General features: G+C 39.9%; 2 long non-coding RNA genes across 4 annotated transcripts in view, besides 1 other annotated feature; one reads left to right on the plus strand and one right to left on the minus strand.

Moving 5' to 3' along the window:
* The window catches only part of LOC124906112 (uncharacterized), a 204,201-nt gene that overhangs the window by 23,477 nt on the left and 161,926 nt on the right, over positions 1-18,798 (minus strand). The window contains exons 2-3 of one of the 2 annotated variants that reach the window (XR_007088015.1): positions 16,618-16,823; positions 5,331-5,841 (exon numbers count right to left, since the gene is read on the minus strand). This is a non-coding gene — a long non-coding RNA (uncharacterized LOC124906112). Of the gene's footprint in view, positions 1-5,330; positions 5,842-16,617; positions 16,824-18,798 lie in introns of those variants that run through there. The other variant, XR_007088012.1, reaches the window with a different exon arrangement.
* LOC124907962 (uncharacterized) lies at positions 11,574-18,352 on the plus strand. 2 transcript variants are annotated; one of them, XR_007088035.1, is made up of 2 exons: positions 11,574-11,704; positions 16,484-18,352. It is a non-coding gene; the product is annotated as an uncharacterized LOC124907962 (long non-coding RNA). The 2 variants fall into 2 exon arrangements; XR_007088030.1 differs by lacking the exon at positions 11,574-11,704 and adding an exon at positions 15,351-15,393.
* Positions 15,912-16,069: a silencer, noted in NCBI's record as "fragment chr2:200874708-200874865 (GRCh37/hg19 assembly coordinates)". NCBI's record gives its function as "represses an EF-1alpha promoter that drives an FKBP-Casp9 reporter gene in an ReSE screen in phorbol 12-myristate 13-acetate-treated (for megakaryocytic differentiation) K562 erythroleukemia cells {active_cell/tissue: K562(+PMA)}" and the evidence as "EXISTENCE:reporter gene assay evidence [ECO:0000049][PMID:32094911]".

Genomic DNA, 18,798 nt, shown 5'->3' on the forward strand with positions numbered 1-18,798 from the left:
GGCCTCCGGCGAGTGGTAACAGGTCAAAAAACAGATCAACTAGAAAGTTCTTCTGGTAAAATAGTGGGTGAGGCAAGTTAGTGCTAGGATTTGGCTGGAGTGATGGCTTTGCTGCCTCTTCAAGGAATTCACAATGCCATCTTTTCTTCCCTAGACTGTTGTGTGACAGCATTCCAAAGACTTTCCTCAATGGACACCACAGAAGTCCTTGAGTTTGAGGGGCTTCAGGAAGGAAGAGAACAGAATCTCATAGGGAAGACTCCTCTATGAAAAAAAGACCCCTTAAAGTCTGCTTTCCCCCATCATTTCAACATCCTCTCCCTCCCCAACTTTACCATATTGGGCTGAGAGGCTTTAAAACCACACTTCCACCCAGCTGGGCTGGGTTAAAGCCCTCACAGGAGCCACTGAGCCAAACCAAACTTCATGTGCATTACCCATGCAGAGCACATCCTCCAGTGTTTACATGTTGAATAGTTTATGATTTGCTCTACATCTGATCAGGCAGAGTCAACTACCAAAACTGCTGATCCATGGAACTTCACAGCCTTTCCGGGCATAATAACGGCTACAGCTACAGCTTATTCAAAGAGAGAAATAGCCTTTGATGAGCTGTGCAAGGACAAATTAAGACGTGACTGTCACCCAGCATCTAGATAGTAGCCTGCTGTTCCAGGCTTTACCCAAAAAGAAATGGGACTAAGGGAGCTGGGAGGCTTCGACCACACCCTCCTAATAGCAGTGGAAGGACCAGGACCTAAAGATGACCATACCACCAAGGATTTCAGAGCATCAGAAGCGAAACAGCATGTTGCTAAGGCAATTCTTTCTGTCATCTCTGCTCTTCCAACCTGTGGCAAAGCCAGATAATTGTCCCTAAGTTCCCATTATCTACTTCTTTAGTAATAGAAACCCTAATATTTAGCTAGGAATGTCCGGGGTGGGGGGTGGATTCTCCTTGGCTGAAATAAACTCTGTATTTCCCAGCCTCTTCCAGTTGGGTGTGGTCATGTATCTAAGTTCTAGACAATGAGATGAAAATAGAACTGCCATGTAAAATTTCTGAGAAATGGCCTTAAGAGGTATTAAATCAAGGTTAGCCTAAGGGTGCCTCCTTACATATTTTAAGTTCAGCCTAAAAGTTTCTCTGTACATCGTGAACTGTACTCTAAATGAAGTTGTAAACAGAATGTAACCTACTCTTGTGCCAATCACCAAGTTTTGGCCAATCAAAGGTGGTCAGCTGTTCAAACCATGTTCAAATAAGGCAAACTCTGAGCTGTAACCAATCTGGCTGTTTCTGTACTTCTATTTTCTGTAAATCACTTTCCTTTTTCTGTCTATAAATCTTCTCCACCATGTGGCTGCACTGCACTGGAGTCTCTGAGCCTACTCTGGCTCAGGAGTCTGCCCAATTCAGGAACTGTTCTTTGCTCAATTAAATTCTTTTAAATTTAATTTGGCTGAAGTTTTTCTTTTAACAAGGGAGAGGTGTATATTTCGCTCTTCTTTCCCACTGGCTGGAATGTGGAAGTGATGACTGGAGCTTCAGCAACTACCTTGAACAGTGAGGTGGAAATTATTATTCAGAATAGATGGAAAATACTATTCAGATACAGGGAGCCTGGATCCTTAGAGATTGTAGCATCATGATTGCAGCCTGAACTGCCACTATAAGCCATTTATATCTTTTGGCACTCACTGTCAACTCTAATCTATCTTATATACAACCTCTACCTTAGGCACCTCCACATGTCCCTAATGACCCCTGGAAAGCCACGTCTCACTAAAACATCCTTACCAAGACAGGGAGAGGCAACAACCTTTGCATTGTGAGGAGCAGTGATTTCGGGCACTGAGAAGCTGTGCTGCCTTTAAACAACTCTATACCATCATCAGCTGGTGTGGGAAAGCCCACGCAATCCCATTTCTCCAGCTCAGTGATGTTCAGGTTTCTACTGTGCGTAGTTCTTTGGTCAAACTTTACATGGACATTTCCAAAGGCCTGCAGGACATCTCCACACAGGTTTCTCACCAGCTCCTCCAACTTGACTTATCTAAACCCAAATTTCTTCATTCTCTCTCTCAGAACAGCCCTTAGGCCAGGGAAAGAGGAGCTCCTGCCATAGGCCTGAAGCTTGAGGGAGCATCCCCACCCCAAAGCCCACATCCTCCTTTTGAGACCATATTCCAGGTACCCAAGACCCCAGAATTCCCTGTCCTGATAGCCTCAGGCCCACTTCTAGGGCTGGTCACTCTGAGGACAGGGTGGGCCAGGAGCAGCTCTCTTCAGGGAATGTGGGTGGAGTTTGGCTGTGAAGGCTGGGAAGTGCATACTTGTCCTTGCAAGGCCCCTCACCATGTTGGGCAAATTCAGGTCAGAAAGAAAAGGAAGTTGTGCAGCAGGGTGGGGCCAAAGACTGGGGGCTGGTTCTCACTGTCTCTATGTTCTGGCATAAAACTCTGAGGAGTCCCAGAAATTAAAATTTCCATCTGGACCTCCAGGACACTGTGAAGGTATATTTGTCAAAGTAGGAGAGTAGGACATGTTTTATTTAACAGTTGGTTGGCTTAATGTATAACTTTAAAATATTTAGACATATGGTATGTGGGCCTCTGTTTGTACTTCTACCGAGGGCCAAGGTGTCTATGTGACACTTCCTGGGACAACAGGGCCTGTTTGCCCCATGGAGGGTATCAGGAATGCCAGCTGAGCTTGGGATGGGAGACGACTAGCCGGGTACTCAGAGAGAGACAGTGCTGGAGCACAGGCCAAAAGGAAGTCAGGAAAGAGCTTCTGCTAGAAGTGAAGAGTGGAAAGAGCAAACCAGGTGAGACAACTAGGGTGGAAAGAGAGTGGAGCAGGAGATGCCAGATGCAGAAATTCCAGGCTGGAGGCATGGGATGAAGAAGAGCCTCTGGTCACAGAACCTGAAGCCAGGAATCAGCAAGGCTGGAAATAGGGCAGATACCAGAAGTACAGGATCCTGCTTAAGCCACACCCTTGTTCCCTATTGTTCTGTGTTTGCATCTTGTCAAACTCAATCTGTATGTCTCAACAGCTGTCCAATGCTCACAGGGTCAAGGGGAGGAATAACCGCAGCATTCCATGGTCCCCCTGCTAGTGGGTAGGTGGTAGCGGTGGGATCCAGGCAGCAGTTTTATCATAGGCAGGTAATGACACTATGCATCAAGATCATCTTCTTGATTTAGCATCCTGGGGAAAGGAGACGGGAAGAACTTGGAAGAGTATCAGAGCCTGCCCCAGTCAAAGACACTAAGGATCAGGAAAGGGTTCCAGCCCAGGAAATCAACTGAAGCAGAATATCAGTTGTGTGGGCCTTGCCAAGGTAGCAGGGAGAGGGAAGAAGGCCAAGGATAAATGTCAGATATAGAGCAATGCCAGTTCTAAGTAGAACTATGGCCATAGCAATTTCTCATCATCCGTGTCTATTTTTGCTGGTGTAATGGTTAGATGATTGGATGGTACTCATGCCATGCTGGTTAAAAATATCTTTTAATGTCACCCTTGGTTGCCAGCCCATTCTCTTCTCGGGTCATGGCTTGCTTTTGAAGTTGGACAGAGAGGAGTAGTGGACCTGAAAACTAGAGGCCTCAGGGTTTCCAGTAATAGCTGAGGAATCTGCAGGACCAAGGGAACCTGGCCACTGGACGCCTCCCCTTCCAGACCATGCCTCAGTAGCCAAGACCCCGGAAGTCTCTGCCCAAATGTCCTGAGCCAATTTTCAGGGCTTGCATGAGCCTCTGCACAGGTCTGTCCTTCTGAGTGTGGACAGGCTCCCCCAATGTACTCCTCAATCTGATCGGTGGCCAAAACAACAGACACTTGTGAGGAGTGTGGATGGAGCTTGGACATGGAGACAGGGGTGTCCACACGTGAGATCTTGAGGCCCTCATACTGCGGGATGGAAAAGAAAGGCCCACTATATCCTGGAAAGGGACTCTGAGAAGTCTGAGGAGTTCTAAATTCAAAACTAGCCTTCAAGGTCAGTGTGAAGTGTATTTGTCAAGATATGAGGATATAATATATTTTATTTAAGTGCTCTGTTAGATTCCTTGATCCTTTTAAATATTTAGATATCAGGCATATGGATTTTCATTTGTCCTCCGGCTCCCACAAATATTAGGGGTGTGTATGCAAGAAACACAGGGATCGTTCTGGCAGAGGTGCATCTTGCAGACATAGCAATGGAGATTTCAGTCCTGATCTAATGAGTCAATGCCACGCATGCCAGAAAGGCCTTCCACAGCATGGTCAGAGGCCAGACAGCAGGAGGGTCCAGGCCTCTTCTTAACAGTCAGCACCAAGGACTGGAGGGCTTTGCATTGACAGCATTTCAGACTGGGTTCTCTTCTCTCCAGTAAGCACTGCCACTATGACTTTCCTCCTACAGTACTGTGTATAGGTGAAATAGTATCATTAAAAATATTCAAAAGCAAGGTCTCTGTGGGCCAGTCAGCACCTGATGCTGACATGTGCAAACAAAGGATTTACTTTATGTATTCATCACATCTACCCTGTGAGGGTGGGAAGGGAAGGCTTCATCATTTCCATTAGCAGATGAGAAAACCAAGGCTTAGTGAGGTTAAATAACTCCAAGATCTCCCAGTAAAGAGAAGGAAGGATCTAAACAAGAAGCTAGGCCTTTTAACTCCGAGTTTAGTACCCTTTCCACTCCACATAGTCCCAATTTAACTCAGAAACAGAAATGCTATAAGAAATCTCCAGCATTTCTTTCCTGAAAGAGTTTATGAACTGCGTTTGGTCAAAGGTTAGCATGTCTATTTATGAAGCTTCTTTAGTTCTGGTTGGTTAATGACATTTAATCGCACGTTCCTTGCAGTGGGCCAGGATAATGGAGAGAGATGCACAGGGGTCAACTAACAACATGCAATTTGATAAAATTCCAAGGCTTTTATGGAGCACAACTGATCCATTATATAAGATTTCATAAGCCAAAGGTAAAATTAAAGTGAGAAAAACTGCCTAAAAATGTCAGGTAGGTGTAGTAGACCATGCAGTTACCTTTTTCTCAGGCAGTTTCAGAAACTGATAACTTAGCAAGATTGGAAACTTTATGTGCAAATGTTGGATGTATAAAATAAGTCAGTAATCAGAGTCGCCAGTGTTCCTTCTCATAAGCTGGTATCTTTGATATCTCCAGTGAGTCAGATAATGAGTCTTTGTAGGACTCACCAGGAACTTCCCTCTGACTCTTCATGGTGCTGAGGTTGCTATCCCTAAAGTGCTGTAGAGTTACGGTAGCAGTTAATTTATGCTGTGTAACAAACCAATCCCCAAAATGTACTGATTAAAATAATCATTGATTGGCTTATGATTCTGTAAGTTGGCCCTTTGGGCTGTACTCATATGGGCAGTTCTGCTGGTCTGACCCAGGCTTACTCATGTGGTTGCAATCCGCTTGAGGGCAGGATGGGTGGCCGTGGCCTGCTTCCACATCTTCTTTTCCTCTAAGAGGCTAGTTCAAGCTTGCTTGCATAGTTTCCAAGCAGCAATTCTGAACCCCAATGTGCACGTGTTTCAAATGTCTCTTTGCATCACATTTGCTAATGTCCCATTGACAAATGCAGGTCACAGGACCAAATGGCAATGGGAGGAAATTCAAAGAAATTGTGGCTTTTCATTTCTTTTTTTTTCCCCCCTTGCAAATCTACTGCAGTCTTTTCAGGTCCATCAAAAATCTCATCTTATTATGGCAGCAGACTTGATGGCCATGATTTCATTCTCCAAATCAGGTCCAACTGCAGATGAGGTTTCACTCTTCAAGTGCAACTCCTCTTGATCTGGAAACCTATAAACTAAAAAGACAAGTTATTGCCATCCCCTCTCCCCACTTATAAATACCTTCCTTCAATGTGATATAGGGAAAGGATGAGCCAAACCAACACTCTCATTTATAGAGAGGAGGCAAAGAGAAGTCACTGGGTCATAGCAATTCTGAAATTTAACTAGGTACATGTTGCCAAGACCCCCTTGCCTGGAGGCAGCAAATGTTCTTGATTAGGATATGGTTCTACTGCCTGGGAGTAGTTCACAGTCCATTGTCTTATATGAGTTCCTGTGACAAAATATAAGATACATTAGAAAAGGGCTTAACACTTAGATAATACATAAGTCACAGATAGTTAATACTAAATGTTTATTCTGCAGACACATAGTATTCTAGAAGGTTACAGGTATAGGGCAGATTAGGATTTGATACCATGTTTGTAATCTCTCTACTGGATGAGGCAACCTAAAATGTGTGAACGCTTTCCATCCTGAGCTTTTGATTACAACCTGGTAGGTTTGGCCTGTATAGTTTGGTGCATGACTTTGGTTTTCAACAATATAGTATCTTCATACTGCAAAAAGGGCTAATTAAATGATCCTTATATTTTCAGTTGTAGTAAGATGCCCTAATACAGTGGCTGTCAGGGATACACCTTCCCTTAAGGGCCACTTGGAAATATGGGGGAGACATTTTGATTTTCACAGTGTTTGAGGGCTGTAATTGCCATCAGTTAGGTAAGTGTCAAGGATTCTCTATGTACTGCAATGTGCTGGATGATCTTGCACAGTGAATAATTGATGCATGATTGCCATGACTTTTAGATGTCCCAGAAGACAGCAATGTAGGTGAAAAACCTGTCTGCAATTATCTAAGCTTAAAGCCTAACTCGATTTTTATATAAACACAGACTATCTTGGGTACAGTTTAAATATATACTGAATTTTCCATGAGTGCAACTACCATGTGAGTGGAGGGAAGATTATACTTTGCTTTGTTGGGAACTTAACCAAGTGTTGTTAGCCACTTCAGAAAATTGTATCACTGGCAACGATATTGCTTGGGGCACTTGAGCTGCCAACACTGCACCTCTGTCTGTTGGCATTTTTAGCTGTTGCAATCATAGTAACTCTACATAGAGGCACAAACATCTGACTTCTTCATTCTGTCTTCTAATGAAGCCATGTCTGAGCTTCTCCATATTGATATGTTATTTTATTATACATTATGTTCCTTTTATTTCTTATTTAAATTACAGTTATGGCATTATATTGATTTTTAAAACATTATGTTTGAAGGTAAGATATATCATCTGTGATTTTAATCTCAAGATAATAAAGAAGGTATTGTACAATATGTGCTCTAAAAGGGGACATTAGGTCTGATAGGGTTTAGAAGCACTGCCCTAATACAAGCTTATCAGGATAGAATTTTTTCAGAGGCCGGAGGAGTGCAGGTTAAACATGAGCAAGACTAAACCATTACATGAACTCATGCCCAGGGTCATTGGTAAAAGAAAGATGGATTCGATATTGGAAAATAGATTCTGTATCTTATATGCTTAAAAACCAGATAAGACTGACAGGTTTTGACAGCACACTAATAAAGAATGTGATTTTCTTTTTCATGACTTTAGAAAAACATTTGCTTATTAGTTTTTATTTTGACATGTGCTAGAATTTATCTACGTATTTATGACTTCCTCAGATTATTCCAGTCAATGGCCTTGGGTTCCGAACATATGGAAACACTGTCCTATGCTCAGTGCCTCACGCTCCAGCTCTGGGCTTAGGCTTGGTTGGGAGGGTTGAATGGTGGTGTTGTCCCAGATGCCGATTCTCAACCTCTTGCTTCCAACCAGAAGAAGCTGCAATTCCCAGATGTCCTCTCCCAGCATTCGGACAGATGGCCCAGAAAATGTAACTCTGGCTCTGAAACTGGCTTGCCTCCAGTCCCAGCCAACATCTTGTTTCCTTGGTTTGACCCACAGTTTGGCCGTATCAACTCTACTGAGGCTTGCCTTTACCAAACTATAGCCTCCTGGGCATGTTGGTGTCACCTACTCCAAAAAGGGCGACTTGAATAAATCCTCAAAGGAGACTGATGGTCAGTGATATCCCTCATTTAGACAGAAAGTAGGAATTTGCTTATTATTTAGTCCCAGAATAATTTGTTTATCTCAGTTTGTGGAAATGAACCTTAAACAATCTGGATTTCCAAACACTTCCCTAGAATGAAGAGTTCAATCATGATGGATGGCAACTTTTTCCTCACCACAAAAAGAAGCTGGTCAATCTGCTCACCCAGCTCCTTTTCATCAGTGTGTCTCCAATGGGAACATTTCACTCGCTGCTACTTCCATACTCACCCAGGCCTAGCAAGCTGTTAATCTTTTGTAGATAGTAAATCAGCTATTTTACTTTTTTGACACCTTCCTTTTCCATCACTGCAGCACTGATACAGGCCATAAACTAACCGGTTGGCATTTTAAAAGAGCCCTTCTTTCTTCCACCCTAAATTATGTTTTTTGGTAGATGGATGTATCTTACTTGATTATGGAAGTTTTCTTTTTCAAAACTTGGTCAGGCATGCTCAGTAGGTCTATTGTAACCCATTGTTAGCCCAGCACTCTCTCTACCACTTCAAGATGAGCCAAATGATGTTTTCAAAGCCATGGGAATATTTAGACTTAAAAACATGCCTTTCTTTTGGGATGAAGAGACAATACTCCTAACCATTGTTGGAAGTATTATGGCAAAGTATTAAAGAAATGCTTCGAGGCATGGTTCTATTCAAAGCAATATACAAAGAGGGGTTCCTGAGCTTAAATGCCTGTTGGTGTCACTTTGCTTGAAGGGGACCTGCCCCAGACAGGCAAAGGAGAGATCCTCAGCAGCCATATCTTACTGAGGGGGTTTCACCTCTGTCACTAGCCGATTGACACAGCGGTGAACACCTGTTCTGAGCTGAGCAAATCAGATTCTCTCTGGAATCTCCAATTTGGAATTTTGAACCAAGACTCACAAAGATGGGATTACTCGGAGCTGAAGCACATCAAAGGCAGCACTCTAGAGAGAAAGTCCACGGATTCCTGCTGCTGAGGTTTCAGCCAGCAGACTTGGCTGTTCCCCTCATCCCCAGATTTGGGAGCTGCCTCTGCGTCCTTTCAATAAGTTACCTTTTTAACTTAACTTAGCCAGACTGTTTCTAACACTTGGAACCAAAAGAATGTTAACTAACATGCAGACAATGGCAGAGAATACCAATGTAGCAAAATGTCTGCCACGCTTAATGATAAGGGAATGAAGACAGACACTCAGTATAGAATGGGGCAGTGTTTTCATCATGGGCATCTTGGTGACCTTGGTTTTCAAATTAAAAAGTAGGCAACATGATCTGATAGATATGAGTATGCTTATGGAGGAAATAACATATTTGAAAGAAGTGTCTAGAAATACATAAGATGTTTGGTTACTCTCTATGTAAGTGTATGTACAGGACAGAAAATCACAATAGGGCATAGAGAGGAGAGGAATGATAGAGGACTCAACAAGCCACTCTAAAACAAAAACAAAATGAAACAAAAGCCCACTTTGCTTCACCCTGAAATGGCTCTGCCTTCTGGTAACGCCAGATTCAACTTTCTCTCAGGAGGAAAGCAGGAACAGCATATTAATGAGGTTTCAACTTTACATTCTTATGATCAGTGAGAACAGCCTAATATTCTCTTGATCACACTGAGTCACCTTCCTGTGCTATTTGTTTGTTTTAAATGCAGCAAAAGCTGCTTTGTCTGCAGTTCTGGAGGTCACTGGCTCCTGGGGAGAGAGGACAGGAAAACTGAAGGAGACTTTTTGCTATGTACTGCTTGGAAGGGTGCCTTTTCAGATGTGAAGGGCAGTTTGGCTTCCTAAACCTAATTATATGGAGTTGTTTCTAGGAGAATGCAGCTGCCCTACTCTACTGGCCACCTGAAAGAGTTAATGTTTCCCCCAAGTCTAGACTCAAGACAACAGAGTGCTGATGTGTACTTGGATGCCATGGCCATATTTATGATTTGCCAGATGATCCATTTGGCTTTGTAAGTTTAATGTTTTCAGGTTGATAGGTGATAATTTTGGTTGGATTTATGCATCCAATAATCAACTGGGAAATAATTCTGATTCAATAAGATACATTATACAGCAGCTCTATATCAGTAAGTAACATCTCTGGATTGCTGTATACTACTAGGAAATTGAAATTTTTTCAAGAAAACTACATCAGATTTTTGGGATGGTACCATATATTTATTTCAGACTAAAAAACTATTGCCGATAATATAAGCTGGCTAACTCAATTTAGTTTGTAGAAATGTAGTTATTTTGAGGTCTAATTAATGGATATCTTTGCTAAAATCTGAAGTGAAATGAAGATGTTCACAGACTTTGATTGAATAAAGGATAAACCAATAAAAGCAAAAGTACTATTCAATATTTCACTAGTATTCTGGCTGGTTGTAGTTTACATAATTTGAAGAAAGCAAGCAGCCACAGTTGCAGCTACAGCCAGTTAACTGTAGCTGTTAACTTTGTAATCATTGGTGTGGGAAGAAATGATTTTAGCCACAATAGGTCCTTTACCACCCCACTTTGGTAGACACTACAGTGAAATCTTGACCAGAACCCACAGCCTCTTGATTCTCTGCAAAAAACCTTATTGAATTCAGAACTGCCTCTTCCCTGAATAGAAACCATCACTGCTGGGTTGCCACAACAGTGCCAGTGACATTTTCAGAGAAATATACAAGCAGATTCAAGTTTTCAAAGATCTATATATCCTTTTCTGCTTCGATATCTTTAAACTTGCACAATAGCAAATCCATGCAGGAGGATGCACTTTAGAATTCATACGATATTAACAGTTATCAAGCACTTATTATATGGCAAACACTTTTTAGGAGGCTTGCATGTGTTAAGTCATTTAATCCTCAAGGTGGCCCCACTAAGTGGATGCAATTATTATCATTATCCCCATTTTACAGATGAGAGGATAACTAACTGGTCTAGATCTCATAAACAGAGGCAGAGCTGGGCTTCAACCCTGCATTTTGTGGCTGGGTAGGCACTTCTAAGTGCAGCACTACACTTGACTGCATGTTTTGCCCTCAAAACTATTACCGTTGATAAAGATGAACACGTTCTGAATTTTCATGTGTGCTTGAATTTCATAGCAAGTATCTATTAACAGGCTCTCCAGGGAAAGCAGATATGTTAGGAGCCTTGGAACTGGCCAAGAAACAGAGCATGTTTCTCTGAATGTCTCCCACCACTATTCTCTTGTCTTACTGATGTTTTATTAGCAGTTTTCTGTTTACATTCTTTTGTCAAACAGTATCTTCCCTCTCATAGTAAACTGCACAGATCTCAAGTGTACGGTTTGATGAATTTTGACAAATATATGACCCTGTAAATCAATATTCCAATTAAGTTATAGAACATTGCCATCACCCTAGAAAATTCTTACCCTGGAAAGTTCTCTTCAAGGTCTATAGCCCCTCCTCTTCAGGAAATCACTGCTCTGATTTCTACCTTCATATGTTAATTTCCCCTGTTACTGAACACACAGTATGTCATTCTGGGGAGTCTAGCGTCTTTCACTTAACAGAGTGTTTTTGAGATTCATTCATGTTGTTGCATCTATCAGTAGTTCCTTCTTTTTATTGCTATGTGGTATTCCATTGCATGAAAATGCCACAATTTCTTTATCTATCCTTTTGTTGATGGTTAATTTTGTTATTTTTAAATTAATAAGTGAAGCAGTAATGAACATTCTTGTTTAAATCTTTTCATGGATAAATGTTTTCATTTCTTGTAGGTAAATATCTAAGTGTGGAATTGCTGGATTATGAGGTAGGTATATTGTGAACATTGTAAAACATTCAAGTAGTTTTCCAAAGTGATTGCATCAATTCACAATCCCATTAGCCATGTATGAAAGATCCAGTTGCTCCATGTTATCTCCCACACTTGGTATTGTTAATACTTTTATTTTTCAGTTATTCTAATGGGTGTGTGGGTATTCTCATTGTAGTTTTGATTTGCATTTCCTTGTTGATTAATAATCTTGACAATCTTTTCATGAGTTTATTAACCATTTGTATATCCCTTATTGTGAAGTATTTATTTAAGTATTTTGCCCATTTTAAAACTTTGGTTGTTTTACTTTAAAATTATTGATTTGTAGGAGTAACTTATCTATCAGGGACACATGTTTTTTGTCAATGCTTCTCAGAATGGGTTTCTTAGGAAGCAGATGGAGAGGCAAATGTATGAGAAGTATTAGGGAGTGCTCTTGGGATCAACATCCGTAGGAAAAAGGAAGATTGTTAAAGGGAGAAACTGGCCACCTGTGTAGTCACAACATAGGAAATTCTGAACCTGGTGGGCCTTCAGAATTTTCCTAAGTTGCAGTGCAGGACCAAACATTTACACTCCTGAGTCAGTAAGATATTAGATGTGGACTACCCCCAAAAGGAGGTGTGACATCTTCAGCCTAGGCAATTCTTGAAGAGAGTTGTCAACTGAGAGCTGTCAGCCAACAATTTTCTAAGCAGCTCATTACATAATCCTCTAGTCTCAGAGAGGGGTCTCGGTGATGCAACATGCACTCATGATGGTTAGATACATGTATTGCAAATATTTCTCCAAGTTTATTATTCAGATTTCATTTTCTTTATAGTGTCTTTTGATAAGCAGAATTTAAAAATTGTATCCAGTTTATTAGTTTATCAATTTTTTTCCTTTAGAATTAGGTCTTCTCACATTTTAAGACAACTTTGCCTATCACAAGGTCACAAAGATATTTTCCTGTGTCTTCTTTTAGGGACTTTATAGTATAGCTTTTAAGTTTAAGTGTGCAATCCATCTTGAGTTAATTTTTGGGAATGTAAGGTATTCATCATGGTCCTTCTTTTTCCCATATGGATATCCAAATGTTCCAGCACCATTTGTTATTGATCTATTAGTCTATTCTGATACCAGTATTACATTCTCTTAATCACTGTGGCTTTATTGACAATATTGCAATTAGGTAGTGTATGCCTGCCAGATTTGGTTACCCTTTTCAAGATTGTTTAGTACCTTTGATGCTTGAACAACATGGATTTAAACTGCACAGGTACACCTAAACATGAATTTGTTTTCAATAAATACATTGAAAATTTTTTTGGAGATTTGTGACAATTTGAAAAAACTTACAAAAGAACCACGTAGCCTAGAAATACCCCCCAAATTAAGAAAAAGTTAGATATGTCATGAAGGCATAAAACATACATAGATACTAACCTATTTTATCCTTTACTACCATAAAATACACATAGATCTTTTCTAGAAAGTTAGAATTTATCAAAACTTATGCATATAAGCATTTACAGATCATAGATGGTGCCACTCACAGTCCAGAGAAATGTACACAAATGTAAAGATGCAGTATTGAATCACAACTACATAAAATTCACTGTTGTACATATTGTACTACTGTCATAATTTCATAGCTACCTCCTGTTGCTATTTCCATGAGCTCAAATGTTGCAAGTATCTGCTTAAAATGCCATGTGATGCTAATCATCTCCACATGAGCAGTTTGTCTCTTCAGTATATTGCAAATTGCAGTGGAAAGTGATTTCTCTCAGTTCTTGCATATTTTTCAATGAGTTAAGTGCAACAGCATAGACCTTGAGTAACACCATGGGACCCATACAAAGTGCCACTAGTGATGCTGGAAGCACTCCCAAGAAGCAGAGAAAAATTATCACACTACAATAGAAAGTCGAATTGCTTGATATGTACCATAGATTGAGGTCTGCAGCTATGGTCACCCACTATTTCAGACAGACAATCAATCCTGTAAACAGACAATGCAAACTTACAGTATCAATAAATACCATGTGTACTGTAAATGTATTACCTCTTCCTTATGATTTTCTTAATAGCATTTTTTCTCTAGCTTACTTTATTGTAAGAATACAGTTTCTTATAGTACATATAACAAACAAAATAAGTGTTAATTGACTATTATCAGTAAGGCTTCCAGTTAGTAGTTAAATTTTTTGAGAGTCAAAAGTTATATGCAAATTTTTAAGTGCATGGGGGTTGGTGCCCCTAACCCTCATGTTGCACAAGGGTCAAGTGTTCTAAGTTGTTTAGTATTCATCGTACATTTTAGTATCAGCATGTCAATTTCTACAAAAGGATATGCCAGTATTTTGTTGGAATTGTATTGAATTTACAGATCATTTGAGGAAAATGGCAGGCAGAATAATTTTTCCCTTCCCCTCACCCCCTGCCAAAGACGTTCATATTCTAATCCTTGGAACTTGTAAATAAGTTAGGCTATGTGGCAAAGGGAAATTAAGGTTGCAGATGTAGTTAAGTTTGCCACCCAATTAACCTTAAAATAGGGAGGCTATCCCGGCTTATCTGGATGGGGCCAGTGTGATCACAGCAGTCCTTAGCTATGGAAAAGGGGTGCAGAAAAAGAAGTCAGAATGATGCAATACAAAAAAAACTTGACATGCTGTTGTTGACGTTTCAAAACAGAGGAAGAGGCCATGAGCCAAGGAGAGTGGGTGGCCTCTAGAAGATGGAAAAGACAAGGAAATGGATTCTTCCCCAGAGCCTCCAGAAGGAATAGAGTCTTGACACCTTTATGTTAGCCCAGTGAGACCCACATCTGACTCCCTGATCTACCGAGCTGTAAAATAAGGAGTTTGTATTATTTCAACTGACTAAACTTTTGGTAAATTATTAAACAACCATAAGAAACTACTACAAGGGATAATTGATATCTTCACAATATTGAATCTTTCAATCTGTGAAAATGGTATGGCTCTCCATTTATTTAGATTTTCTTTCTCTCACCAATGTTTTATAGTCGTCAGTCTAGCAAACGTGTATCTGTCATTAAATTTATTCCTAGGTATTTTATGTTTCTTGATTGCTACTATCCATCATTTAAAAAATGTTATCTTCCAGTTGTTTGTTGCTGACTTCGCTTGTGAGACCTAGAAGAGTTTTGTAGATTCTTTTGCATTTTCTAGGTATATAATCATATCATTTGTGAATAAAGAGTTTTACTTATTCGTTCCCAATATTTATGCATTTTATTTTATTCTCTTGCCATGTTGTAGTATTGGCTGGGACTTCCAGTGCAATGCTGAATGCAAGTGATAAGAACAAACTGTTTTTTGTTATTTCTGAACTTAGAAGGATAGTATCCAAAATTTCACTATTAAGTCTTTTGTAGCCATAGAGTTTTCATGTCAGATTATTAAAGTTTCCTTCTATTTATATTTCCGGAGAGATTTTACTACAAAGGAGTTGAATTTTGTTAAATTATTGTTCTATATCTATGAAGAAGGTTACATGGTGATTCTCCTTTATTCTGTTAATGTGATGAACTTTTTTTTTTTTTTTGAGACAGAGTCTTGGTCTGTCGCCCAGGCTGGAGTGCAGTAGTGAGATCACGGCTCACTGCAGCCTTGAACTCCTGGGCTCAAGTGTTCCTCCTGCCTCAGCATCCCGAGTAGCTGAGACTACAGGTGTGTGCCACCATGCTCAGCTAATTTTAAATTATTTGTAGAGATAGGATCTCCCTATGTTGCCCAAGCTGATCTCAAACTCCTGGGCTCAAGCAACCCTCCTGCCTTGGCCTCCAAAAGTGCTGGGAGTACAGGCATGAACCACCACACCTCACGACGAGTTACACTTTTACATTAAATTGACCTTGAATCCCTGGGATAAACCCCACTTGGTTGTGCTGTATTACCCTATGTGCACATTGCTAGAGTTATAGTGTTAATATTTTGTTAAAACTTACTTCTCTGTTACTTCTTTTCTTGTAATGTACTTGCCAGTTTTGGTTTTAGGGTTATTCTGGCTTCACAACAAAGTTGGGAAGTATTGTTTTCTCATCTATTTTCTGAAAGGACTTATGTAAGATTGGCATTATTTCCCCTTTAAAGATATAATTTACCAGTTAAGCCATCTGGGCCTTGAGTTTTCTTTATGGGAAGGACCTGAATCCTGCTAAAAACTGCATGAGTTTGGAAGTAAATTCTTCTCCAGTCAAGTCTTTAGCTGAGACAGCAGCCATGGCTAACACCTTAATTGCTGCTTTGTGACACCCTGGAGCAGAGGCCAGCTATGTCATGCCCACACTGCTGACCCACAGAAACTGTGAGATAATAACTATATATTGTTTTAAATAGCTATATTTTTGGCAAAGTTATTATACAATAGTAGTTAACTAATACACTCCCTTAGCCCTACTTTTGTTTTATTCCATGCATTTTGATATGTTGTTGTGTCATTTTAATTTCATGAACATTTTCTCATTTCCCTTTGATTCTTCTTTGACTTATGGGTTATTCAGAAGTTAGTGTTAGTTTCCAAATACTGTAGATTTTTCATGTATCAATTTTTATTATTGATTTCTAACTTAATTCTATTTTGATCATAGAAAATACTCTGTATTATTTCAATCCTTTAAATGTACTGCCATGGTCTATCTTCCATGTGTACTAGAAATGAAAGTGTATTTTGTAGTTGTTGGATGAAAATATATAAATGTGATTTCCAGTTTTAGTTCTGACGTGTTAACAGCCTGAATCATCACTCTCATCCTTACAGCAAGAAGAAGCTGGAAAACTGAAAATCAATGACTCTTATTGGACACATCAGAGAACTGAGGTTATAGGGCAACCCTTCTCCCCAAAATCTGGGAGACAGGTTCATCCAGAGAAACATAGCCAAGAGCTTCTTACCTGAAGCAGAAGGTACTCAAGCCATAAAGTAGACAGAACCTTTACACAGTAAATTTGATAAATTTTGTTGGAGGCTGAGTATGGACTTGAATGAGAAACTCCTGGGAATCACAGTCTCAGGTGGCCCCTGCACTTTCACGGACTGTATTTTCAGGGACCTCAGCAGGTTCTCACAGTGAAGGGCGAAGGAAGATCCCCTGGTAGCTCTGGAAGAGAAGAGGAAGAGTGAGAAATATACCCAGAAATATCCCAATGGGAAATATACCCAGAGACCTCTCCCTAACAATGGCCTATGCTCCATGGGGAAAGAATCTTTCAGAACTTTATCCCAATTGGGGGAAGGATATTCTTCCCACTGAAGCTCCCTCCAGTCTTCCTGTCTCATGTAAGGAGGAAAGACATAGTCAACAAGGGTCAAGGCTTTAAGAAAATATATTGGGATTGGAGCAGTCAGGGATAGGAGTGGAGGCAAGAGAGGGAAAAAGGTCTTTACCACTGGAGAAAAACTTGTAAAAGACACAGGCCCAATAAAACACAGAGATTTAATTAGAAGAGTATAGAATGCTCCTTATCCGCCATGGCTTACCACCACACCAGCGGGGCTCCAGTATTATAACAGTGGATTACAGCTGAAAGAGCTGTACAACACAACTCTTTTTGAGGAGGAATACCTAGGGAAGCTGAAAGTCAAAAAGGGAGACGAAAACAAAGATGCCAGAGGAATTTGAAGCTTCTGGCATCTATAGCTACATCAAACATTAAAAAGTCTAATTTCTAGCTAGATTACCATAAACTCTAAAATTAACAAACTATTTACCTGAGTTCTTATTATCTAATACAGCATGCCCAGCTTTTCTCAACAAATTGTGGAAGAGAATGGGGAGAATTATTATGCCAAGAAAAAATGCTGCATTTAAGGGGTCTTCCATACCTCAGTCCATCCTGCCTTCCTTTACCATTGCCAATAGATCAGCTGGCCTCTTCTTACCTGATACACTTATCAAGTTTATGGCACGTCTTCTCATCTGCCTGCCTATATCTAGACATAGAACTTACCCTAGAGGATGTTGTCACTTTCTGCTGACCCATGAAAGGTTTTGATCTATTAAAAATTAGTTTGTCAAGGTTTTCTTTTGTCCACCACTTTTCTATTGTCTCATATGTAAGTATAATTTTATATTATGACTTTTCTTGTGTTACTGTAAGAATGAAGGTCTTCTGAGTCTTTTCACATCTTAACTCTTGCCCCATTTATTTATTTTTTTACTGTGCTTTCTATTTCCCCCCAAGATTCTTATCTCAGTGTTTTTTTGTCAGTTTGTTAATATCATCCCAAACTTTTAATTGTTTTTCTTATTTGATTATTTGCTCAGATGTTCTTGGCTTGAACTATTCCTCATTTTCCTTAAACCTTGTTTTAACAGGCCAAAAAGAAGGTGTATGGCTTTTACTGTGACACACATAACTTAGTCAACACTTGCCTTTACTAAGAAGGAGTCTTTTTTAAACCAATACATAATTATAGAAATAGAATAGATGGTTGATTCAAGAATCTGCTGATTTACCTTTCATGCAGTAGGCCACATGTACACTCACTCTATTCTCACTCTCACTCTCTCTCTTTCTCTAATTGTCAATCCAAGTCACAGTGGTTCAAAGGACTTTCATATAATAATTATTTTATGTCAAAATAACCACTACTTATCAGAAAATAAAAATTCTTTATCTCTTCTGCCTCCTCAGTGTTTTGGTCATACTTTTGAGTAGGATAAGTTGACTGTGGGCTGTTTAAAAATAATCTTCACCCACTGCTTCCCTAAACTGATTCAGGATTTAAACCAAAAGTGAGACAACTACATTTCTGATGTCAGATTTGCTTGCCTCTCTCCAAAATTCTGGCAGGGAAATTTAAGTTGTTACCATCTTTAGAAGACTTGAAAATTAACATAGTGGTTGAGCAGTTTCATATGCATAGTTGCCAGAAGAAATCCACTTAAGCTCGGCTAATTACAGAGAAGTTTATTGTAAGGATACAGCATCTCAAGGTGTCCAGTTTTAGCAAGAACTAAAAAATTTTATAGAACCAGAAGGTTATCAGTAAAATTCTTTTACTCTCACTTTCCTCTTCTTCCTGTCCCTCTGGCCCCTGGTTCCTTGTCTCTGCTGCACCTGTTTCATTCT

This window comes from Homo sapiens, chromosome 2 (genome assembly GCF_000001405.40).
Source record: "Homo sapiens chromosome 2, GRCh38.p14 Primary Assembly".
Taxonomy (NCBI): domain Eukaryota; kingdom Metazoa; phylum Chordata; class Mammalia; order Primates; family Hominidae; genus Homo; species Homo sapiens.